This window comes from Homo sapiens, chromosome 5 (assembly GCF_000001405.40).
Source record: "Homo sapiens chromosome 5, GRCh38.p14 Primary Assembly".
Taxonomy (NCBI): Eukaryota; Metazoa; Chordata; class Mammalia; order Primates; family Hominidae; genus Homo; species Homo sapiens.
Window position 1 is genome coordinate 81,701,829 of NC_000005.10, and position 20,175 is coordinate 81,722,003.

General features: G+C 36.3%; 1 protein-coding gene across 88 annotated transcripts in view; it reads right to left on the reverse strand.

Moving 5' to 3' along the window:
* The window catches only part of SSBP2 (single stranded DNA binding protein 2), a 339,004-nt gene that overhangs the window by 289,025 nt on the left and 29,804 nt on the right, over positions 1-20,175 (reverse strand). For 4 of the 88 annotated variants that reach the window (XM_047417060.1, NM_001394351.1, XM_047417058.1 and 1 more), the window contains exon 2: positions 8,850-8,940. The exons of 83 other annotated variants lie outside the window; for them this stretch is intronic. In XM_047417060.1, coding sequence (XP_047273016.1) covers positions 8,850-8,899 — 50 coding nt within the window. In that variant the 5' untranslated portion in view covers positions 8,900-8,940. Of the gene's footprint in view, positions 1-2,842; positions 2,965-8,849; positions 8,941-20,175 lie in introns of all 88 variants that reach the window. One more of the 88 variants, NR_174529.1, reaches the window with a different exon arrangement.

Consider the following 20,175-nt stretch of genomic DNA (forward strand, 5'->3'; position numbering starts at 1 on the left):
TCTCTAAGAAGAGATATAAGTATGCACCATACCATAAACCTATCTGACCTCAGAACCCTGTTAACCAACGATGCCAATTTATTAATACATAGTAGTTAATGAAAAGTTTAGAAAATATTGCATTAATGTTTTCACAGATTATTAAAATGTATGTTTAACTGTATCATTAATAGGGATTATCTGAAACAAAGTTATATGGGACTAATAAGGTACACACTGAAAGAAATCACTATTGTAATTTTTTTAATTAAAAAAAAGATTCGGCCAGGCACGGCAGCTCACGCCTGTAATCCCAGCACTTTGGGAGGCCGAGGCGGGTAGATCACGAGGTCAGGAGATCAAGACCAGCCTGGCCAACATGATGAAACCACGTCTCTACTAAAATACGAAAAATTAGCTGGGCGTGGTGGCGCACACCTGTAGTCCCAGCTACTCAGGAGGCTGAGGCAGGGGAATCGCTTGAACCCAGGAGTCAGAGGTTCCAGTGAGCCAAGATGGTGCCACTGCACTCCAGTCTGGCAACAGAGCGAGACTCCCATCTCAAAAAAACAAACAAACAAACAAACAAATTCTGTAATATTTAGAAGAGGACAAAAGCTATAGATAGAATCTGCCTACTACTCAATCTCACTTATATAAGGGCTCTCATGCAAAGCAATAGAAACAAAATAATGGAAGCTCCAAAATAGGCATCGGAAAATACAAAGTATATGAAACACAATGCCATAAGTTCTGAAAAAATGCAGGAATGCTATTTTTTTTTGAAACTGAACTTCTCAATTTTACACTTTCATCCAGACATTTGAGTGTGAGCTCTCTGCTAGTGCTCAATCCCAATAGAAAGAATCCCTATTTCAGAGAATCCAAATGCCAGTTTAAACTGGGTCCCTACATTTTTCTGTCATTTTATTTTAGGGGGATAAAATTGAGATTTATTTTTGCCACTTTCCACTATGTCCCCCTGAAGAGCTACATAGTATCTTCATTGCCTTTAGCCAGCTAAGAGATCTGTGACCTACACTAAGTTGCCAATCAAGCCTTATATTGAACTACAGCACAGTAAAAGAACTCTGATTTCTCATGCTGTGGCTCAATCTTAATGTACTCAAGCTCCAACAACTGGGAATAAGAGCAGATATTACACACATTCCCCACTATCTACAACAGACAAGTTGGTCATTTTAATGAGGGATTTTTGTCTGTTTTATTCTTTTTATTCCTTTTTGCCCATATCTTATTCAGTATTCTTTGTGTGGTGGCTACTTTGCTAAAGTGGTTCAATATTTAATCAAGGATTAAATGGTAAAGCAGTTTGCCTATTAAATTATAAAAACCTTTAGTGTTTACATAGCCTTTTCTAATTAATTAAATAACTTAATTGAAATTAAAAATTAGATTTTAAAGTAAGCTTTGAGAATACACAAGTTATTTTGAAGATATTCAGCCATGAATACAACATATATCAGTCATGGTATTACAGGACACACAGACAGTGCCAGCAACCCAGGAAGATCTCCAGAGCTCAGGCAGCCTGAGCTACAGTCTGCAGTGCTTGTTAGATGGACACTCAAAATCGGGCATTGGAATAGTGATTCCCTGAGACAGGAAAAGCACATCAGGTTATCCAAGGAGGTCCAGAGGGAATGGGTGCAGCACACCAGCATGGCACATGTATACATATGTAACTAACCTGCACATTGTGCACATGTACCCTAAAACTTAAAGTATAATAATAATAAAATTTAAAAAAAGAAAAAAAAGAAAAAAGTCAAAACAATTATTTTTTAAATTCAGTTGTTTAAATTCAATTCCTCTACTGAGTTTAAATCTTTGTATTTATTTTCCTAATAGATAACACTGGATTTATTAATGTTCACTAATGATTTCCCTTAAAAGAGAAATGCCAAAAACAAGACTAATAAAGTCAATTTATTTTAGATTATCTTTCAGTTTATTTTAAACTAATGTTTTTCTTTTTTTTAAATGCGCAGATCCAAAATATGGTGACTACTTTTTCATTGTACCCACTAACAAATTCTAGGTTGCTTCCTTACTGTATTTTGTTTTATAGTAAATAGAATGAGGCAGAGCTGAAGATACTTGCTACCTAAAATGGGTAAGTCAAAGACATCTGACTATGGAGCTTTACTGCTGCTTTAGTCCCTTGGACATGACCACAGAACACCAGGAGCTGAGGAAATTGGCCAAGCTGAGCCACGTGGAACAGTCACATCATCATTACTGTCCAGGTTCCACTGGCATTTGTGTTACCCAACCAATGAGGTACAGGGTTGGGGATTCTTCTTAGTTATCTGATGCTCTTTTGTTCTCTTTTTCTCAATCCTTTCACTGAGGCATATAATTAATGATGACATGACTACGATTGGTGAGGAGTATGGCAGGCTTTCACTATCTCTACTTCACTAACGAATATAAAAACTCTAATCTCACATATGCTTTCCAAGTTACCTATGAGTCTTATGAAATAACATCACTGGCTCCCATTTCTCTGACATACTACCAACATCTGTTCAGTTCTACCACTTACATTACATAAAAACCCACTAGTTCCCAAGTTTTGAATGTACATATGCATACAGGCACACATGCTCGCACACATATATACACATGCACACACACATATACACAATATTATACAATTGTTTAGGGATTTAAAAAGCATTCCCTGGCCAGGCATGGTGGCTCGGCCTGTAATCCCAGCACTTTGGGAGGCCAAGGCAGGTGGATCACCAGGTCAGGAGCTCAAGACCAGCCTGGCCAATATGGCGAAACCCCGTCTCTACTAAAAATACAAAAATTAGTTGGGCGTAGTGGCGCGCACCTTTAGTCCCAGCTGCTTGGAAGGCTGAGGCAGGAGAACCGCTTGAACCCAGGAGGCGGAGGTTGCAGTGAGCCGAGATCACACCACTACACTCCAGCCTGGGTGACGGGGAATGATTCCATCTCAAAAAAAAAAAAAAAAAAAAAAAAAAATGCATTCCCTATTCACATTAGTTATTGAAATACTAGGCTAAGTTTAAATGAGTTTCTTTATTTCCAGACCACTCAGAATATTTAACGTGTTAATCTATATTAAGAATTTCTTGACATAAAAATAATATATCACATTTCCAAATCTATTTGGCTATGGAGACCTTTTTGTGCAGAAGGTTTTTATAGCACATACTTTGGAAGCCACTTAACCAAAGTATTCAAAACACACAAAATATATACATATTTGTTTTTATGTATATTACATGTATATAATATACAACAAATCTGAATATATTATTTACTCATCCACTTACCCACCCATTCCAACAGCCATCCAACAAATAGTATATATAGTGCCTATATATGTGAACACTCTTGTGCATAGTGATAGGGGAGAGGAAAACACTTGAAAATATGTTTAACAAATTTTTCTATACTCCTCTTATTAATCTGCAAATAAAATGTTAGAGTTTTTTAAAAGCCAATTAATAGAGTATAATTCTTAAAAATCTAGTAATGGAAAGCAACAGATCCCCCTTAAAAAGTGATAAGTAGCAAACCAAGGAAATGTTATATACTTTACAAAAGTGCTTTAATATTAAAGGACACATATATTTTGAGATATTTTTATTCTACACAATTTTCCAGAAACAACTCAAAGAAAAAATAATTAACTGATCCTTTTAGGTACTTAAATATATACTTTAGGATAAAGAGCCATAAACACACCAAGCCAATTAACTACATCGCAATTAGATGTCAACTAATTAATAATTGTAAAAAACTAATTATTTTAAGCCTTTCTCTTGTATTTCAGAATCTTTGGAAGTCAAGTCCTTCCTTTAGCTCCCTCATCTTATTCCTGACTTTTTATATTGCAAACTCTAGGAAAAATCTAAAATTATTTGACTATGAATACTGGTATTAAGTAAAACTTAAAATGGCAAAACATTTTAAATTGGACAGGTTGGGAACCAAACATACCCACCCTGAGTATGTTATATTAAAAAGTCAAAAAGCAACAGATGCTGGCAAGACTATGGAGGAAAGAGAACACACATACACTGTTGGTGGGAATGTAAATTAGCTCAGCCACTGTGGAAAGCAGTTTGAAGATTTCTCAAATAACTCAAAACACAACTACCAATCAACCCAGCAATCCTATTACTGAATATATATCCAAAAGACAATAAGTCATTCTACCAAAAATACACCTGCACTCATACGCTGATCACAGCATATTCACAGTAGCAAAGACATGGAATCAATCTAGGTGCCCATTAACAGTGGACTGGGGTATATACACCATGGAATACTACACAGCCATAAAAAAAGAGAACGAAATCAAGTCCTTTGCAGCAACATGGATGCAGCTGGAGGCCATTATCCTAAGCAAATTAACACAGGAACAGAAAACCAAATGCTGCATATTCTCATTTAGAAGTGGGAGCTAAACACTGGGTACTCACAGTCATAAAGATAGCAGCAAGAGGCACTGGGGTCTTCTAGAGGGGAGAGGGAAGGATAGAGGAAAGGGCTGAAAAACTGTTAGGTACTAAGCTCACTTCCTGGGTGACAGGTTCAGTCATTGCCCAAACCTCAGCATCACATAATATATCCATGCAACAAATCTGTACATGTACCCTCAAATCTAAAATAAAAGTTTTAATTATTTTTAAAAATTACTGTTTTCTTCAATATTAATCACTGTCCTATCCTGGTGATACATATACATATAAGGGATCTGGTTAAATGCCTACTGACCCAGAAAAGACTATTTTATACAAGTTATTTCTTCCTTTTAAAGTATGATACAAAAAGGAAAATCCAGTTAAACAAGCCAGTTACCCAACAGAATTTAATCTAAATAACAGTAACGAGTTCCTTGTCTACCTCTGAATCTTACTGTTCAGGCAATCTTCTTACCGTTTGTTTATGGACTATGCTCAAAACAAAACAGAGCTAGGTACTTGATAGTCTGATTAATCTCAACTTTCCTTCAGAGACTCTTCTATCATCTGCTGAAGTCCTCTAGGGAAGTGGGCCATTTAGATGCACAGAAAAACAGCTGGAGCATGAGGTGACACACAGACTTACTTGAAGAGATTAGCCCCAAGAGAAGAGCTTAGTTCTCAGTTAATCTTATGTATTCTCATTTAAGAAAATTTCAGGGAAATAAAATTATAAATACGGGTTATTTCCACAAACTAATCATTAGATAACTCTATGGCCCTGAGGAACAAAACAGGAATGATTCTGCCAAAAATGCCTTTCATGGGTATTAAATTAATTTCCTCTGAGAGGTAACAGAGCAGTGAGGATCAAATGAGGAGTTTCTATTAAGTTCTTGGAAAGAAAAGTCAACATCTCCAGTAAGGCTTCATTTACTAAAAGGTAAATGTTATAGGTAAAATTGTGTGTTCCTGCCTCCATCCCCAGAAAGATATGTTAGAGTCCTAGCCCCTCGTACCTCAGAATGTGACCTAATGTGGAAATAAGGTCACTGAAGATGTGATCAGTTAAGATGAGGTCATATAGGAGTAGGGCTGACCTCTAATCAAATATGACTGATGTCCTTATAAAAAGGAGAAATTTGGACACAGAGATACTTACAGAGGGAAGGTGACATGAAGAGACACAGGGTGAGGTTGGTCAGTTCATCTATAAGGCAAGGAGAGAGACCTGGAACAGATCCTTCCCTCACAGTCCTCAGGAGGAACCAATCCCACCAACACCTTGATTTCAGACTTCTTGCCTCCAGAATCATGAGTCAATAAATTTCTGTTGTTTAAGCCACCTACTTGGTAGTACTTTGTTACAGCAGCCCTTGCAAACTAATACAACAGGCAATAAGAAATGACTTCAAAAGTGGCTGTAAGGGAAACACAAAATAGAAACGAACTAGAAATTCAGGAGTCCTAGATTCTAGGCTTTAAACTCATAATCTTTGGCATAAATCTCTTCCTCAGTTTCCTTAACCATACCTCTTTCAGGTTGTTGTGAGGATAGAACTTAACAATGTGTGGGAAAGTGCTTGGAAAAATACAAAATATTAAGCAAATAGGAGATGTTATCACCAAAGATTTGCAATTTACTTAACACACGTTGCTTTAAGAAAAAGAGCATAAAGTACAGAAAAGATATAAGTGATCCTCATGTTTTTCCTCAAAAATGAGAGCTAATGACCAGATGTTAAACACTAAATTAAATACACATACAAGTTAAAGCACCTTATGGTCAATATTTCCTTATCTGTTAATTTTTAAAACTATAACCCCCCGCTAAGACACAGCTATTACTGATAGCTCACATAATAATGAATTCAGCCAATACTTTATATTCCAGAAACTGGCTAAATCTTAAAGATACAGAGCTCAAAGACAGGGTCTCTGCCTTCAAGGAGCTCTCTCTACAGAAAAGGAAATAGGAATTGATTAAATAGAGTCACATAAGCTATGAAAGAGTTATGCATATAGTACAATACAGCAGATACATATCTTTGTACTGGAGTAGAGTTGACTTTAGATTAAATCCTGATATGTATTTGAATAATGTTTAAGTTCTCTGGAATTGATAATTGATAAAGCATTAAACAATATAATATAGAAACACTTTAATGAGTTAATTGAAAAGTTGTTCAATTTTCCTTATTAACTCTTTGCTGACCAATGCGTCATGTTAGAGAGAGAGAAATTCATCTCTCAGATTTTTTTTAAAGCAGGCTTAAACAAAAATTGTTTCGTGTTTTCTTAAATTCACTGCATTTTTATTTTATCATTCCCTTGTGCAGGAGAAGGAATTTTTATTTTCATCAGAGACAACCAGAAAATTAATGTTTCAACTCTCCCTGAAAAATCCTTCTAAAATGTACCCTTTCTTCTTTAGTCTGTATGTATGGGCAATGTGTCCCAATTGAAGCTGTCTTTTTCAGCTAAAGACTTTTCCAAGTCTTTAGGAGTGAGTTGAGTATCAGTGATCCAGGTAAGGTACTATAAATACAGAAGAAACAGTAAAGTGTGTTGATCTTTACTCCCAAGGTAGAGGACACAGGGAGAGGTGGGAGTAAAAGTCAATTTAAAGACAATTAAATCTACTAGAAAAACTCTTATTGTGATTACATTTTTTTACAAGAAAAAATATCTGAGATAACTGATCTATGTTGAATATAGGCTAAAGGTTCACTGAAAGTAGTTTGATGGAAGAGCCAGGCTACACAGGAGTATAAAAGTAAGCATGAAATAGTGAAAAGACTCAAAAAGTCTTTATCATCCTTTGTTTACTTATGCCAATAAGAGCTTGAAAGCTGTATTTGCAAAGGCTAAAACACAAAGCAGATAATCTCTCAATGGATAATTGAGTCGACACTATTAAAGTCTGGGAGTTTTAAAGGCAGCAGATGTAATGGCTTTCATTTCTAGAATTTAAAAACTCAATGAGAAAAGAAGAAGTAAAAATAAATAAATTGAAACAGAAGCCAATATATAACCCACTATAGCTATGCAAATAATTATTTTTCCATTTTCTTCTGATCTCTTTCACCTTTCTTTTCCATATTTTACCCCTTCCCCTTTCCTACTTTCTCTTCTATAATGTCATTAAGCAAATACATAGCTTTTTCCATCTTCTCTACCTATATGCAGTTCCTAATAATTCCTGAATAATATCTTAATCACAATTTATAGCATATCAACAAATCTTAATCTAGCTCACATCTCATAAAAGACACAAACATATAAAAGTGTGACCAAGAAGGAAAAAGAGAAAGCCTAGACACCTGAAATACTCATGTCTAATTTGAGCTCTAAGAATTTAAAGAATCATATATATAGAAAGGAAAAAACAGTGATCTCTAAGAACTTGAGATGTTTTCCCTTTTAATTTAAAAAGAGAATTTTAAAAATATATCAATTTTGGTATTAGTTTCTTTATAAACCTTTATTTTGAAAAGAAAAAAATTTTAAAAGTCCAACGAAAATAAATATATAAAAGCCATCATAGCAGATGTAGAACACTTGCAGAACTATTCCTTTGCATGCTATTTAGAAGTCAGTTTGTCTGGGATGCAGTCTTCCCTCAATTCAATATTTTAAATTTAAAAAATTAGAAGCATATCAGGAGAAGAAAAATAAGCAAATTCTTTTCAATACTTTTGAATATCTGAATTTTTATACTTAACAACTAAAATATTCAACTACAGATGGCTCTTGCCACAGTATCCTCAAATTCAGCAAACTTACTGCTTATTAAATTAGAAGAGAAAAAAAACCAAGAGAGTGAACTCTATTTTAAAAACTCAAACTGTTGATAAAACTTCACTTGGTCCCACTGCCATGAACTGGCAAGCTTATAGGACACAATGGTAACCATGGTCCAATTATAATGGGTGTAAAGGGTAAATTAAGTAATGGTAGTAGACAGACGAGGATTGTCTAATTAGATACCTTGGAAGAAAAATGTGGCTTCCTCGCAAAGGCAGTGTTTTCTGATGTTCTATCCTAATATAAATATGCTTTTGTATCTTGTATCAGTTTTACCTTCCAAATGAATCCCAAAGAAAGAATCTTGTGATAAAGAGTAGCTTTGCTAGTGTTCCTCTTGGTTAGAAATGGGAAGATGATGAATTTTTAAATGTCATGATAAGGACCTATACAGTTACAACATTTAGTCACATTTTTCTATGGAATTACTGTGTCCAATATATACTGGTCTTTTAGAAGCCAAAGTATAATATGAGGGGCTGATAGGTAGAAATAACTAGAGGGGACTTCAACTGAAAACAACTTATTCTTAACTGACAAGCACAAACCTACAAATAGGAAACTAAAAAGCACATTTCCATAGAAACAAAACATTACCTCCAATATAATACGAATGAATACATGAGGGCTGAGGGGATCACAAGCATCACCCTTACAAGAGTGAACTGGAATAAGGCACAGATGAATTCTAAAAAGAAGTGAGATAATATGTTTTAATATAAGGAATAGGCAAAAATTGGCAGGAAGGAAAGAACATTACAGTCATGGGAGCACGAATAAAAAGAAATCTGCAAATCAAGTTTAAAAAGTAAATCTTTTTCCAAGATTTGTTAATATAAATACGTAATTATTTTTAGCACCTTTAACATATCACCATAAATAAATCCTGAAGAGCCAGGCAAGGAACTGTATGTTTGTGTCTAGATTGGAATATAACTACCGTATCTAATGCTCTTAAAGTTCATTTAATAACAATAAAAATAACAAATCTGATTCTTCCCTTTCAGGCATAAACTTAAATAGTTAAGAGGGTATAAAAGCCTAAAGTAGGGCAAGTTTAATTCTATAATATTAGTAGTTTATTCATATCTTGATGCAGGAAGGGAATTAAATAATTAGGTGCTTGTCTTTAAGAGCATCTTTCTTAGAACTAAAACAAAAGAAACAATAGGCTTTTATGTTTTTAAAGACTAAACTCAGCTAGTTGATTCTGCTCAATAAGTTATCAATGAAATATCTATTCCAAATATACCAAAATATAACAATTCACCTTCAAAATAATTAGTATTTGATTTTATCTAAAAAAGAAACATTTTCCTACAGCTCATCGCTTTGCCAGAAATTTACCATATGCTTAAATAAAAGCATAAAAAAGCAGGAGGCAATCTTAGAAAAATGTGAATCAATGACAGTTCAATAGGAGAGAATTATCAGAAATATATCCATTGTATAAGAGGGAAAGAAGTTGAGCCTTTTAGGACATGCCAGAAAAGTCTAAGGTAACAACTTATCTTCAGATATATCACCAACAGTAAGTCTGCATACTATTTATGATAAATAAAGCCTAAAGAGATAATAAATTGTAGTAGACAAAATTGATCACTCTACATGATAAAAAAAAAAATAAAACCTTTATCTCATCCAAAATAATCCCAACAGTATATGGAGGTAGATTAGCATAATGGTTAACAGTGTGGGTTCTGGAGCCAGACTACAGAGATTTATATTCTTACTCCTCCACTTCCTAGTTTAGCCATGTTGACTATGGAAAACTACATAATCTTTCTGTGCCTCGGTTTCCTCACCTGTAAAGGGAGGAAAATAAGAGTCCCTATTTCATAAAATTGGTGTGAAATTTTAAAAATTAATACAGGCCTAGCACTTAGTGCACAACTATAAGCTATTTAAGCTATTTTTATTATCACTGTTGCTAGTATTATAGTTTAAACACCATACTGAATCTTCAGACATTTCTTTGGATTACCTATTGTAGCTATTATTAACCACTAGCTCTTCAGTTAAAATATCAAAAATTATGGTCTAAGTAAGTCATACGAGATCTAACCTGAAACAGAGCTTGTGAATAGACAGATGGATATTCATAAGACCTTCTAATAAATGGGCAAAAATAAAGAAAAGTTTATGTGTTTCTGCTCCTGTTTGGATTCCAAAGCACTGCTGGCTTATACCCTCCAGCCACATAACAGTTAAGAATATGCCTTTGTCATCTATCATATGTTAGAAAAGGGAAAGGATCATGTCTTTAAAAAATAAAGATTACAAGGCCGAGGCGGGTGGATCATGAGGTCAGGAGATCGAGACCATCCTGGCTAACAAGGTGAAACCCCGTCTCTACTAAAAATACAAAAAATTAGCCGGGCGCGGTGGCGGGCGCCTGTAGTCCCAGCTACTCGGGAGGCTGAGGCAGGAGAATGGCGTGAACCCGGGAAGCGGAGCTTGCAGTGAGCCGAGATTGCGCCACTGCAGTCCGCAGTCCGGCCTGGGCGACAGAGCGAGACTCCGTCTCAAAAAAAAAAAAAAAAATAAAGATTACAGATTTCTGGCTAAGGATGGTAGGTTGAACTTACATTTACAGGCACACTGTCCCACCAAAATGAAAGTAAAGGGACTTTTTGTTTGTTTCTTTGTTTTTTTTTTTTTGTTTTTTTTGACACAGGGTCTCACTCTGTAACCCAGACCGGAGTGCAGTGGTGCAATCATGGCTCACTGCAGCCTTGACCTCCTGGGCTCAAGTGATCCTCCTACCGCAGCCTCTGGGACTACAGGTATGCGCCATCATGCCCAGCTAATTTTTTTTGTATTTTTTTGTAGAGACGGAGTTTCACCAGCTTGTACAGGCTGATCCTGAACTTCTGGGCTCAAGCAATCCACCCACCTCAGCCTCCCAAATTACTGGGATTACAGGGGTGAGCCACCACACCTGGCCTAAAGGGATGTTCTTTTAAGGCTTAAATTTGCAAGGATGAAGAGTCCACCAGATGAAACAACAGTAACAAAATTATGGTAAATCACTTTTCAAACCTAAGGAATCTGAATACTAAACAGACAAAAGAGCAAATAGGGTTAGTATTACATAATAGAATCTCCAAATGGCTAAATTTGCAGTACCAGGTACCTCTGGAAGTGAGAGAAAAAGTTTACAAACAGGAGGATTAAAAAAAAATCTGTTTAAAAATCTGTAAGATTCCAAACTCCCCACTCCACCCCTCCACACTCCAAACAGGGGAACACCCCTCCCCAACCCCAGCAAAAGACTTGGAGATTTATTCTCTTGGTGGAGATTTTTTTAATGGTCTTATTATTACTAAAAAACATAAGGCAAGTTTAGAACAGGCATATCACACTAAAAAAGAAAAGAATAAAGAAAAAGTTTATGTGTTTCTGCCCATTTGGATTCCAAATCACTGCAGGGTTATACCCTCCATCCACTAAGAGTCTTCCCTAGGGAATCTGACCAGCCTAAAATAAGACACTTAAAAGATGTACATCGCCAATAAAACAGCCTACCAGATTATCCTAAACAGAAACCCGTAAGTCTACAAGCCTCATCCAGAGGCACAGAACTACTACTCCACTCTTTAGAACTTTTTTTAGAATGCATCAGTGAACAACCACTACCACACATTTAAGGAGAGCCTGAAATAGGAAAGACAGAGACCAAAGCAAGCAAACAAACAAACAAACAAAAAGAGTAACTTGGAAGAAACAAATAATAGGTAAAGAGAAGAAAATTTCCAAAAACTATTCTTAACCTTCAAAGAGATAAAAGAATACAAGCAACCATGAAACAAAAACTGGATTTTTATTATTTTTATTATTATCATACTTTAAGTTCTGGGATACATGACCAGAATGTGCAGGTTTGTTAGATAGGTATGCACATGCCGTGGTGGTTTGCTGCACCCATCAACCCGTCATCTACATTAGGTATTTATCCTAATGCTATCCCTCCCCTAGGCCCCCATCCCCCAACAGGCCCTGGTGTGTGGTGTTTCCCTCCCTGCGCCCATATGTTCTCATTGTTCAGCTTCCACTTATAACTGAGAACAGGCGGTGTTTGGTTTTCTGTTCCTGTGTTAGTTTGCTGAGAATGATGGTTTCCAGCTTCATCCATGTCCCTGCAAAGGACATGAACTCATCCTTTTTTATGGTTGTATAGTATTCCATGGTGTATATGTGCCACATTTTATTTATCCAGTCTATCATTGATGGGCATTTGAGTTGATTCAAGTCTTTGCTATTGTGAATAGTGCTGCAATAAACATACATGTGCATGTGCCTTTATAGTAGAATGATTTATAATCCTTTGGGTAAATATCCAGTAATGAGACTGCTGGTCAAATGGTATTTCTGGTTCTAGATCCTTGAGGAATTGCCACACTGTCTTCCACAATGGTTGAACTAATTTACACTCCCAACAGTGTAAAAGTGTTCCTATTTCTCCACATCCTCTCCAGCATGTTGTTTCCTGACTTTTTAATGATTGCCATTCTAACTGGCATGAGATGGTATCTCATTGTGGTTTTGATTTGCATTTCTCTAATGACCAGTGATGATGAGCTTTTTTTCATGTTTGTTGGCTGCATAAATGTCTTCTTTTGAGAAGTGTCTGTTCATATCCTTCAACCACTTTTTGATGGGCTTGTTTTTTCTTGTAAATTTGTTTAAGTTCTTTGTAGATTCTGGATATTAGCGCTTTGTCAGATGGATAGATTGCAAAAATTTTCTCCCATTCTATAGGTTGCTTGTAAAGCAACGGCAACAAAAGCCAAAATTGACAAATGGGATCTAATCAAACTAAAGAGCTTCTGCACAGTGAAAGAACTGGATTTTTTTTTTAAGTAGGAGGTCCAGTAACAAGAGAATTGTTTTAATCTGTGGAGGGTTGGAAGATAAAACTGAGGAAATCGCCCAATAAAGGAAAACCAAAATAGAAAGATGTGGAAAATATTTAAGAGAAAAGATAATAATTAGAGGGGCAATCCATATTCCTACTACATCAAAGAAAATGGGGATTCTAAAACACACCCACACACTCACAGAGACAGACAGGAGGGGCTGGGGAGACAGGGGGAGAGACAAAATCAAAAGAACTAACTCAATAAAATTGCCAGAACAGAGTAGGATTTTCTAGGTCAAAAGAAGCCACCAAGTACTCAGGTTGCTACTTGAGAATGTGTTCCACCAAAATAATGACCTAACAAAAAGGAAATCAAGCAACAGGGGATCCAGCACAAGAAAGAAATTCTTAAGATGATGAGGATGCTAAGGAAAATAAAGAGTCCAAGATAACAACTATGCCAAAACCAGGTAAACAACCAGTGTAGATTAGAACAAGTTAGAAGAATCTGAGAGCTACATCATTAAGAACATGAAATTAATAGAATAGTTAAGAAGGTATTTACAAACAGAATAGAGTTTGGGGATAAACCAATGATATGTTCATAGAAAACAAACCTACCTTTTAACAAGTATAAGTATTCCACTGAAAATAAAACTGTGTACAAGAAAGAAAAAGTAACCATAGAATACTACTACATGGCAAAACTATAAATAGCATTTAGTCATAATCATGTAAACATTAAATACTGATATAATCAAAATTAGAATAACTGTACTGGGAGGATGGGAAGACAAGAAATGTGTATGTGACTACATTAACAAGATAGATGGCCAGGTGCAGTGTGGCTCACACCTGCAATCCCAACTCTTAGGAAGGCCGAGGCAAGAGGATTGCTTGAGCCCAGGAGTTCGAGACCAGCCTGAGCAGTATACTGAGATCTTGTCTCTACAAAAAAATTTAAAAATCAGCTGAGCATGGTAGTGTGAGCCTGTAGTCCCAGCTACTTGGGAGGCTGAGGCGGGAAGATCACTGTGCCCAGGAGGTGGAGGTTGCAATGAGCTATGATCGCACCACTGCACTTCAGCCTGGGTGACAGAGTGAGACCCTGTCTCAAAAACAAAACAACAACAACAACAAAAAAAAAACAGGACAGGTAAGAGGACAGAGTTCTTATCTTCCACTGTGGGAAGTCAATAGATAGCGTCAAAAAAAAAATCAAGTAGCAGCAATATAAACTTATTTGGATTTATGACAATAAACACCAAAAAAAATCAGCTAAAATAGTTGAAGTTGTTTGTCTACAAGAAGCAGGAAATGAGATAAGGGTAATAGTAGCCACTGTCGTCCTCCATTACAAGCCTCATAGGCCTATCTGACTGGTACTCTTTAAACAATGTGCTTGTAAAACACTGATAAAATGTGTACAAAACACTGATAAAATTAAATCAAAATTTAAAAAATTTCCTAATTATAACATTAATGCATGCTTACATAATTTGCAAACTGCTCAAAGAAACCAAGAATTAAGAAATTTTGCCATCCAGGTAAATTATTAATATATTGCAGCACTGCCTTTGAATTTTTGCCATACACACATACTTGTGTATATAATTTTTTTAAACTCAGGGTTCATGCTGAATATGCAAATTACATAAACTTTTTTTCAGTTAACATTCTATCATTAACCTTTTCTGATGTCCTTAAGTATTCTTTTAAAACTCCTTAATACTCCATTTTATCCTCCAGCATCACTTCTTCAACTTCAGGGTCTATGAAATACTAAGCATCCCAAAACTACTTGCATCATGACTACCTAACATAATGCCTTATTGTAAGTACACTGCTATTATGAAGTTTAGTATAAAGTAAACTTAAAAGTGACATGAACACATTTAAAGTTCAGATCATTTTTAAGAAAGGGAAGCATCAAGTATGTGTGTATCGCTCTGAAAAGACAGGTGAGGCTGATGTTTTATAATTTTTATACAATTAAGGAAATACATGGCCTGAACTTCACCAGAAGAATTTTTCATTTTAAAATTTCCTTCAGTTAATTGTTCTTTAAATACAATATTCATCATTTTAAATCATAAGAAAATAGAAGAATATTTATTGATTCTTAATATTAATATAACCTGCTGGAAGACATTCATTGATGGGTCTTCTCCCAATCCTGTACATATTGCTGGGTATGGCCAGAATGCAAGATCCTGACCACTTGTTACCAGGGCCGTTTGTCAGGGTTGTGTCTGCTATGAACTACCTTGAAAAATGAGGTAGTCACCCTCCAGGACAAAGAGCAGCCTTGCTTACTATAAAAGCAATGGATCCTCCATGCCCAGAGCTCCTCAGCTCCAGTCCACTATATGTACAGCATCTATCCGTAACATATTCTATCACCCCCATAAAACTTGGAGGCAAGGAGAACTGAAGAAAATATGCTAATGCTCATGCTGTTTCTATGCCATGAGTAATAAGGTCCTTTGCCTCTGACTTAGGAGTCTCATGCCTTCTACATGACATGTAGAAGCATCCAAGAAATAGTAAAAGTTTACTTATAGAGTGAAATCAAATTCCAGACCCATTAACTTACCTCTTGGCAATTCAGACCCCAGGGATCAAATATATGACATTTAAATAATTAAATAATACTGTCATTTCTTCCTTCCCACCCATTTTAAACAAGCATAATATATGAAAAACCAAGGTCCCCACAAAATTTAACTTACTGTACATTTGTTCAAGACTTTCTACCAGCTTCTATTAACCTTTTTTGCTGCTTCAATCCATCTGTCCCCAGCCAAATAAGATCCATGATTCTACTTACATTTTCAATGCTCTTTTTCATTCTACATATTTCCTAAGAAGAGTTTTCTGGCATTTTATCTCTCCAGCCATAAGACATAAAACCTGCACCTAAACAATTCACAAAGCCTACCTAAAAGGTACCAGAGCCAATCAATGGAGGATACATGGTTGTGGTCTCTCCACGTAAAACAAATGTTGTCAATATACAGCTGACGCATGCTGGTGCCTCTTCAGACTTCACTTCTAACTTTGTAAGCCCCTGGGAACTCTCTTGTACCGCCCTTAGGATGCTAGGTGTGGTTTTTCATCATTTATTTATAAGATTTTTTCTTCTGAATCATAGACCTTAATACCCACCCAGACTTTTAAGCAAATAACAAGAAATAATATTTCTTTAAAAAGTAGGGAAAGAAGCTCATAACAACACATTATGCGCAGGGAAATGTATTTTAGGAATTGACATAAGAAGGAGGATGGAAGAGGAAACTATCAGGGTTTTTCATTGTAGCTATAATATAAACAATGTACCACAGAGATAGGATTCAGAGGGCTAAGAGGAATGAGTAGACCCAAAGTGACTGCTAGCAAAGAAAAACCCATTCGAATGCTGAGAAAAAATAGCCGATAACAGTGATAAGAGAAAGAAAACAGAGAAAGATCTAGTAGTTTTGAAAGCAGGCAAAGTAAGCTAGCTCATGTCAGAGGTTATCCAGCAGTTACCAATCAACCTCCTACCGGAAGCAGAGGTCAAGCTGCCGAGGTGGGAAACCTAATGAAAAAAACATCCCTACATTCAAAGGAACGTGACTGAAACTTAAGAGATTAGGAAGTTGGTGGGGGCTGAGGGCTTCACCAGCTTCACTGGGAAAGCTCTGAACTGATACTGTTCTACGTTAGTTAAATTTATTAACACAAGTAAGATAAGACTGTAAGTTTCACATTTCAGTTATTCCCAGGAGTGCCACATCTGAAAAGAGGGTGTCAATTTATCAATATTCAATGAGACTATATTCCTGGGGAAATCTAAGTAAGAAATGCACTGATTAGCGTCTTCCATGATATTTAGCTACAAGTAATGCCACTGCAAGTAAGTCTGTAACTTCTTTAACCATGAAAAGTAGTTTGGACCACGGAAATTGTAATGTAAATTTCTAAGGACATTTCTAATCCAGATATTGCTATGAACCTCTTACATAAATATCTCACTTAAAATATAACTAACGAACACTAAATTTTTGGGGGTTTGTCCATTTTCCCCCGTTTACATTTTTTATAATAACAAGTACATTTTTGATAGAATTATACAGTATCACTCTTCAGTAAACATTTTGTTTATTCCTACAATGTTTCTAGTGAAACATCCTTGTTTATGCATTAGGATCCAGACGAGGTTGCCACAGGTTTCAACACAAAGTATGACAATAAACTCCTGCTACAGAAATTCATGGGGTGTTTTCAAATCGTAAGGAGCAGAAGGCTCCACACCTTCTGCAGCCATGAGCAGCTGCTCCAGGACTTATAGCCACCACTGTTTGACCTTTCCCCATGCCCATCCCCGCTTCCTCCAAGAGCTAAAGCCAATCCTGAAAAAGCAGAGGGCTGATGATTAACTTCATCCAGCCAAACCTGTTACTTCTCAAAAGAGATGTCCTGTATGGGCTTCTTAATATCCATAACATGGTGTGGACATTGAGAAATTCCTGTGACAGTGGAATCACTGTGGGTGCCCAAGGTTTCTATCCATCTTGATTATGAGCTTGAATTGAGGCTTAGCCAGAGACAGCAAAGGGTACTCCAGAAGAAGGCTGGCTCACGTCTTAAAATGTACCCAGGTTTTGTTTTCTTTGAGTGTGATAAAATGACAGGCACAGAGACAACTGCCTTGGGAAGAAGAGTTTATTACTCGCAGTTCTAGGAGGAGGAGGCATGCCATGAAGCACAGGTCCATATGGGAAGGCACCAGGGTCAGTCAGGAGGCAGAAGGAGACAGGGGAAAGCATGGCACAAGCCTTTATTATGGTTTTCAGCAGAAAAGGCCAATGCAGGGCAGGGTAAACAGTTTAGGACTGGCTGGTTTGAGAAATTTCAGTGGGCTCCAGGGTGTAAGAACCATCCCTAGTTGCCTGTTACCTGGCCCTGGGGTGTAAGTTAGGGTAGGGGGATAGTGGCTCAATCTGTGAAAGCTCAATAAAGGAGGTAGCTGGCAGTATGGGCTCTAGATTGGCTGTTTTACATATGAAAATGCTCACAGGAGAGTCATTTGCTATCTCTGGGAATTATCCAGCCCTGGAGGAGTAGTCTGCCCGCAAGCCAGCAAGGCCCCAAGATGTCAAAGCATCATAAAATACAGAAAATAAAAAATATGGATGATACAGCTCAGATTGTACTTCTGGGCTCAGAGCCCATCCAGATTTTTACTTCTTTTATAAACTCTGGTAACATCAACCATTCTCAGCTCCAGAATTTCCCTAAATTAAAAGCCTTCTTTGGCCCTAGAAGCACTACCAATCCTACCTCCACACTGTGTCACCACTACCATGCACTGGAGATAAATGTAAACAGAGTATTCATTCCAAATGGTCTTCCCTTGGTTTAATACTGACTGTCTGTATCATAATTTAAAATCTGTATCACAGCCTACCAAAATAATGACATGGTCTTTGCTACAACTTCTGAGAAAGTCATACTACTGCTGTCAGAATCTTTCAGAACACTAAAGCTTCAGGTGCTAAAACAGCATATAGGCTAAGCTTTTCAAGTTATACTATTAGCTTCTGTTTAAATGTTTGCATAAAATTTCAACAAAAGGAACACAAAAATAATGCTTCAAGATTTCAAAGACATCACTAGTGTTTATCACCTTATAGACGAAAAGCAAGGAAGCTGACTAGATAAATATCAAGGCACTTCCCCCCTCTCTGCCTCTAAGCTTCTGAACAAAATTTTTGCTCTACTTTAAAAATGTCATCAGTTATGCATTTTTAGGAATCACAGTTTGGTTTGACATCATACGGAACAGTAGATATTTAAGCAGAGGAAAAGCTTGAATCTCTGTATTGATTTTCTAACTGGTAAGATTCATTTTACTGTTGAACTGTTACACACATTTTCCTGATTATTCCACATAAAAGTAAAACTAGGTCTGTTTAAAGTATACACACATATATAGCACATCAATAACCTGGGGTTTTCTTTTTACTATATTGTTTTTATAATCACAGACATGCTTGCTAGGTAATACAATCAACATGAAACAAAATATTAGGTAGAAGACTGGTTTAAAAACAAAACTAAATGGAAATAAAGCCAAAGATATACAGATTTTCAGGGATTTTTATAAAGAGCCACAATAGTAGGAAACCTAAAATCTGTCAACTGTTAATCAAGTCTGGATGGATACCATAAAAAATATAAACCTACTACTGCTTGATGAGATGTTTAGTTACAGCATCTGAATATGGCAATCCAATCTGTATGCTTCATACTAAGGCATCTAGTTAATCCTTCTAGATCAGGCTTGAGAATCACACGACCTAAAAATGTCCCCGAATATCTTTCCTAACTTCTATACAACTCTTCCAACACAGACAACAAGCAAAAACAAAAACAAACAAAAATCTTACAGGTAGCTACTTCAGACTGATGTCCCAGTGAAGCACCCAAATGAAAAAGCTCATGAACCAGTTCACACACTAAGCAAAATACAAAGAACCAAAAACCGACTAAGGTTACGTTCCAACCAAGTCCTATACACAAACCAAAGAGTTTTATAATGCCAAAATCTGTAACAGAAATCTAATTCTTTAGCAGTTCAGTATCCAGTGACTAACTAATCAACATGGAAACTGAAAACAAAAACAAAAACAAAAACAAAAACTAGGCAGCCATGAAGCCTTTTCAAAAATTGGCAATCAAAACCTTACTATCCTGTAGCAAATTCAAAACCTGAACTAAATTCTCTAAAACAACAGAACTCTCTAACAGATTATGAGATCACAGACATGACATTTAGTTTCCTGAACCATTTCATCAGCATCATTATAAGGAATCAAATGCCTTTGTAAAAATGAAACAAAAAAATCTCCAAGTTCACTGATGGAAAATGGATAATTTGTTCAAAAACACTGGACTCTATGCACATGAGTATCACCTCCTGATTACACCTTCTCTGCTGCTTCATCCCTATACTGGTCCATTGGGGCACCCTGATCTTTACTAAAAGTTATGGTCTAAACACAGAAAAAACAAAAA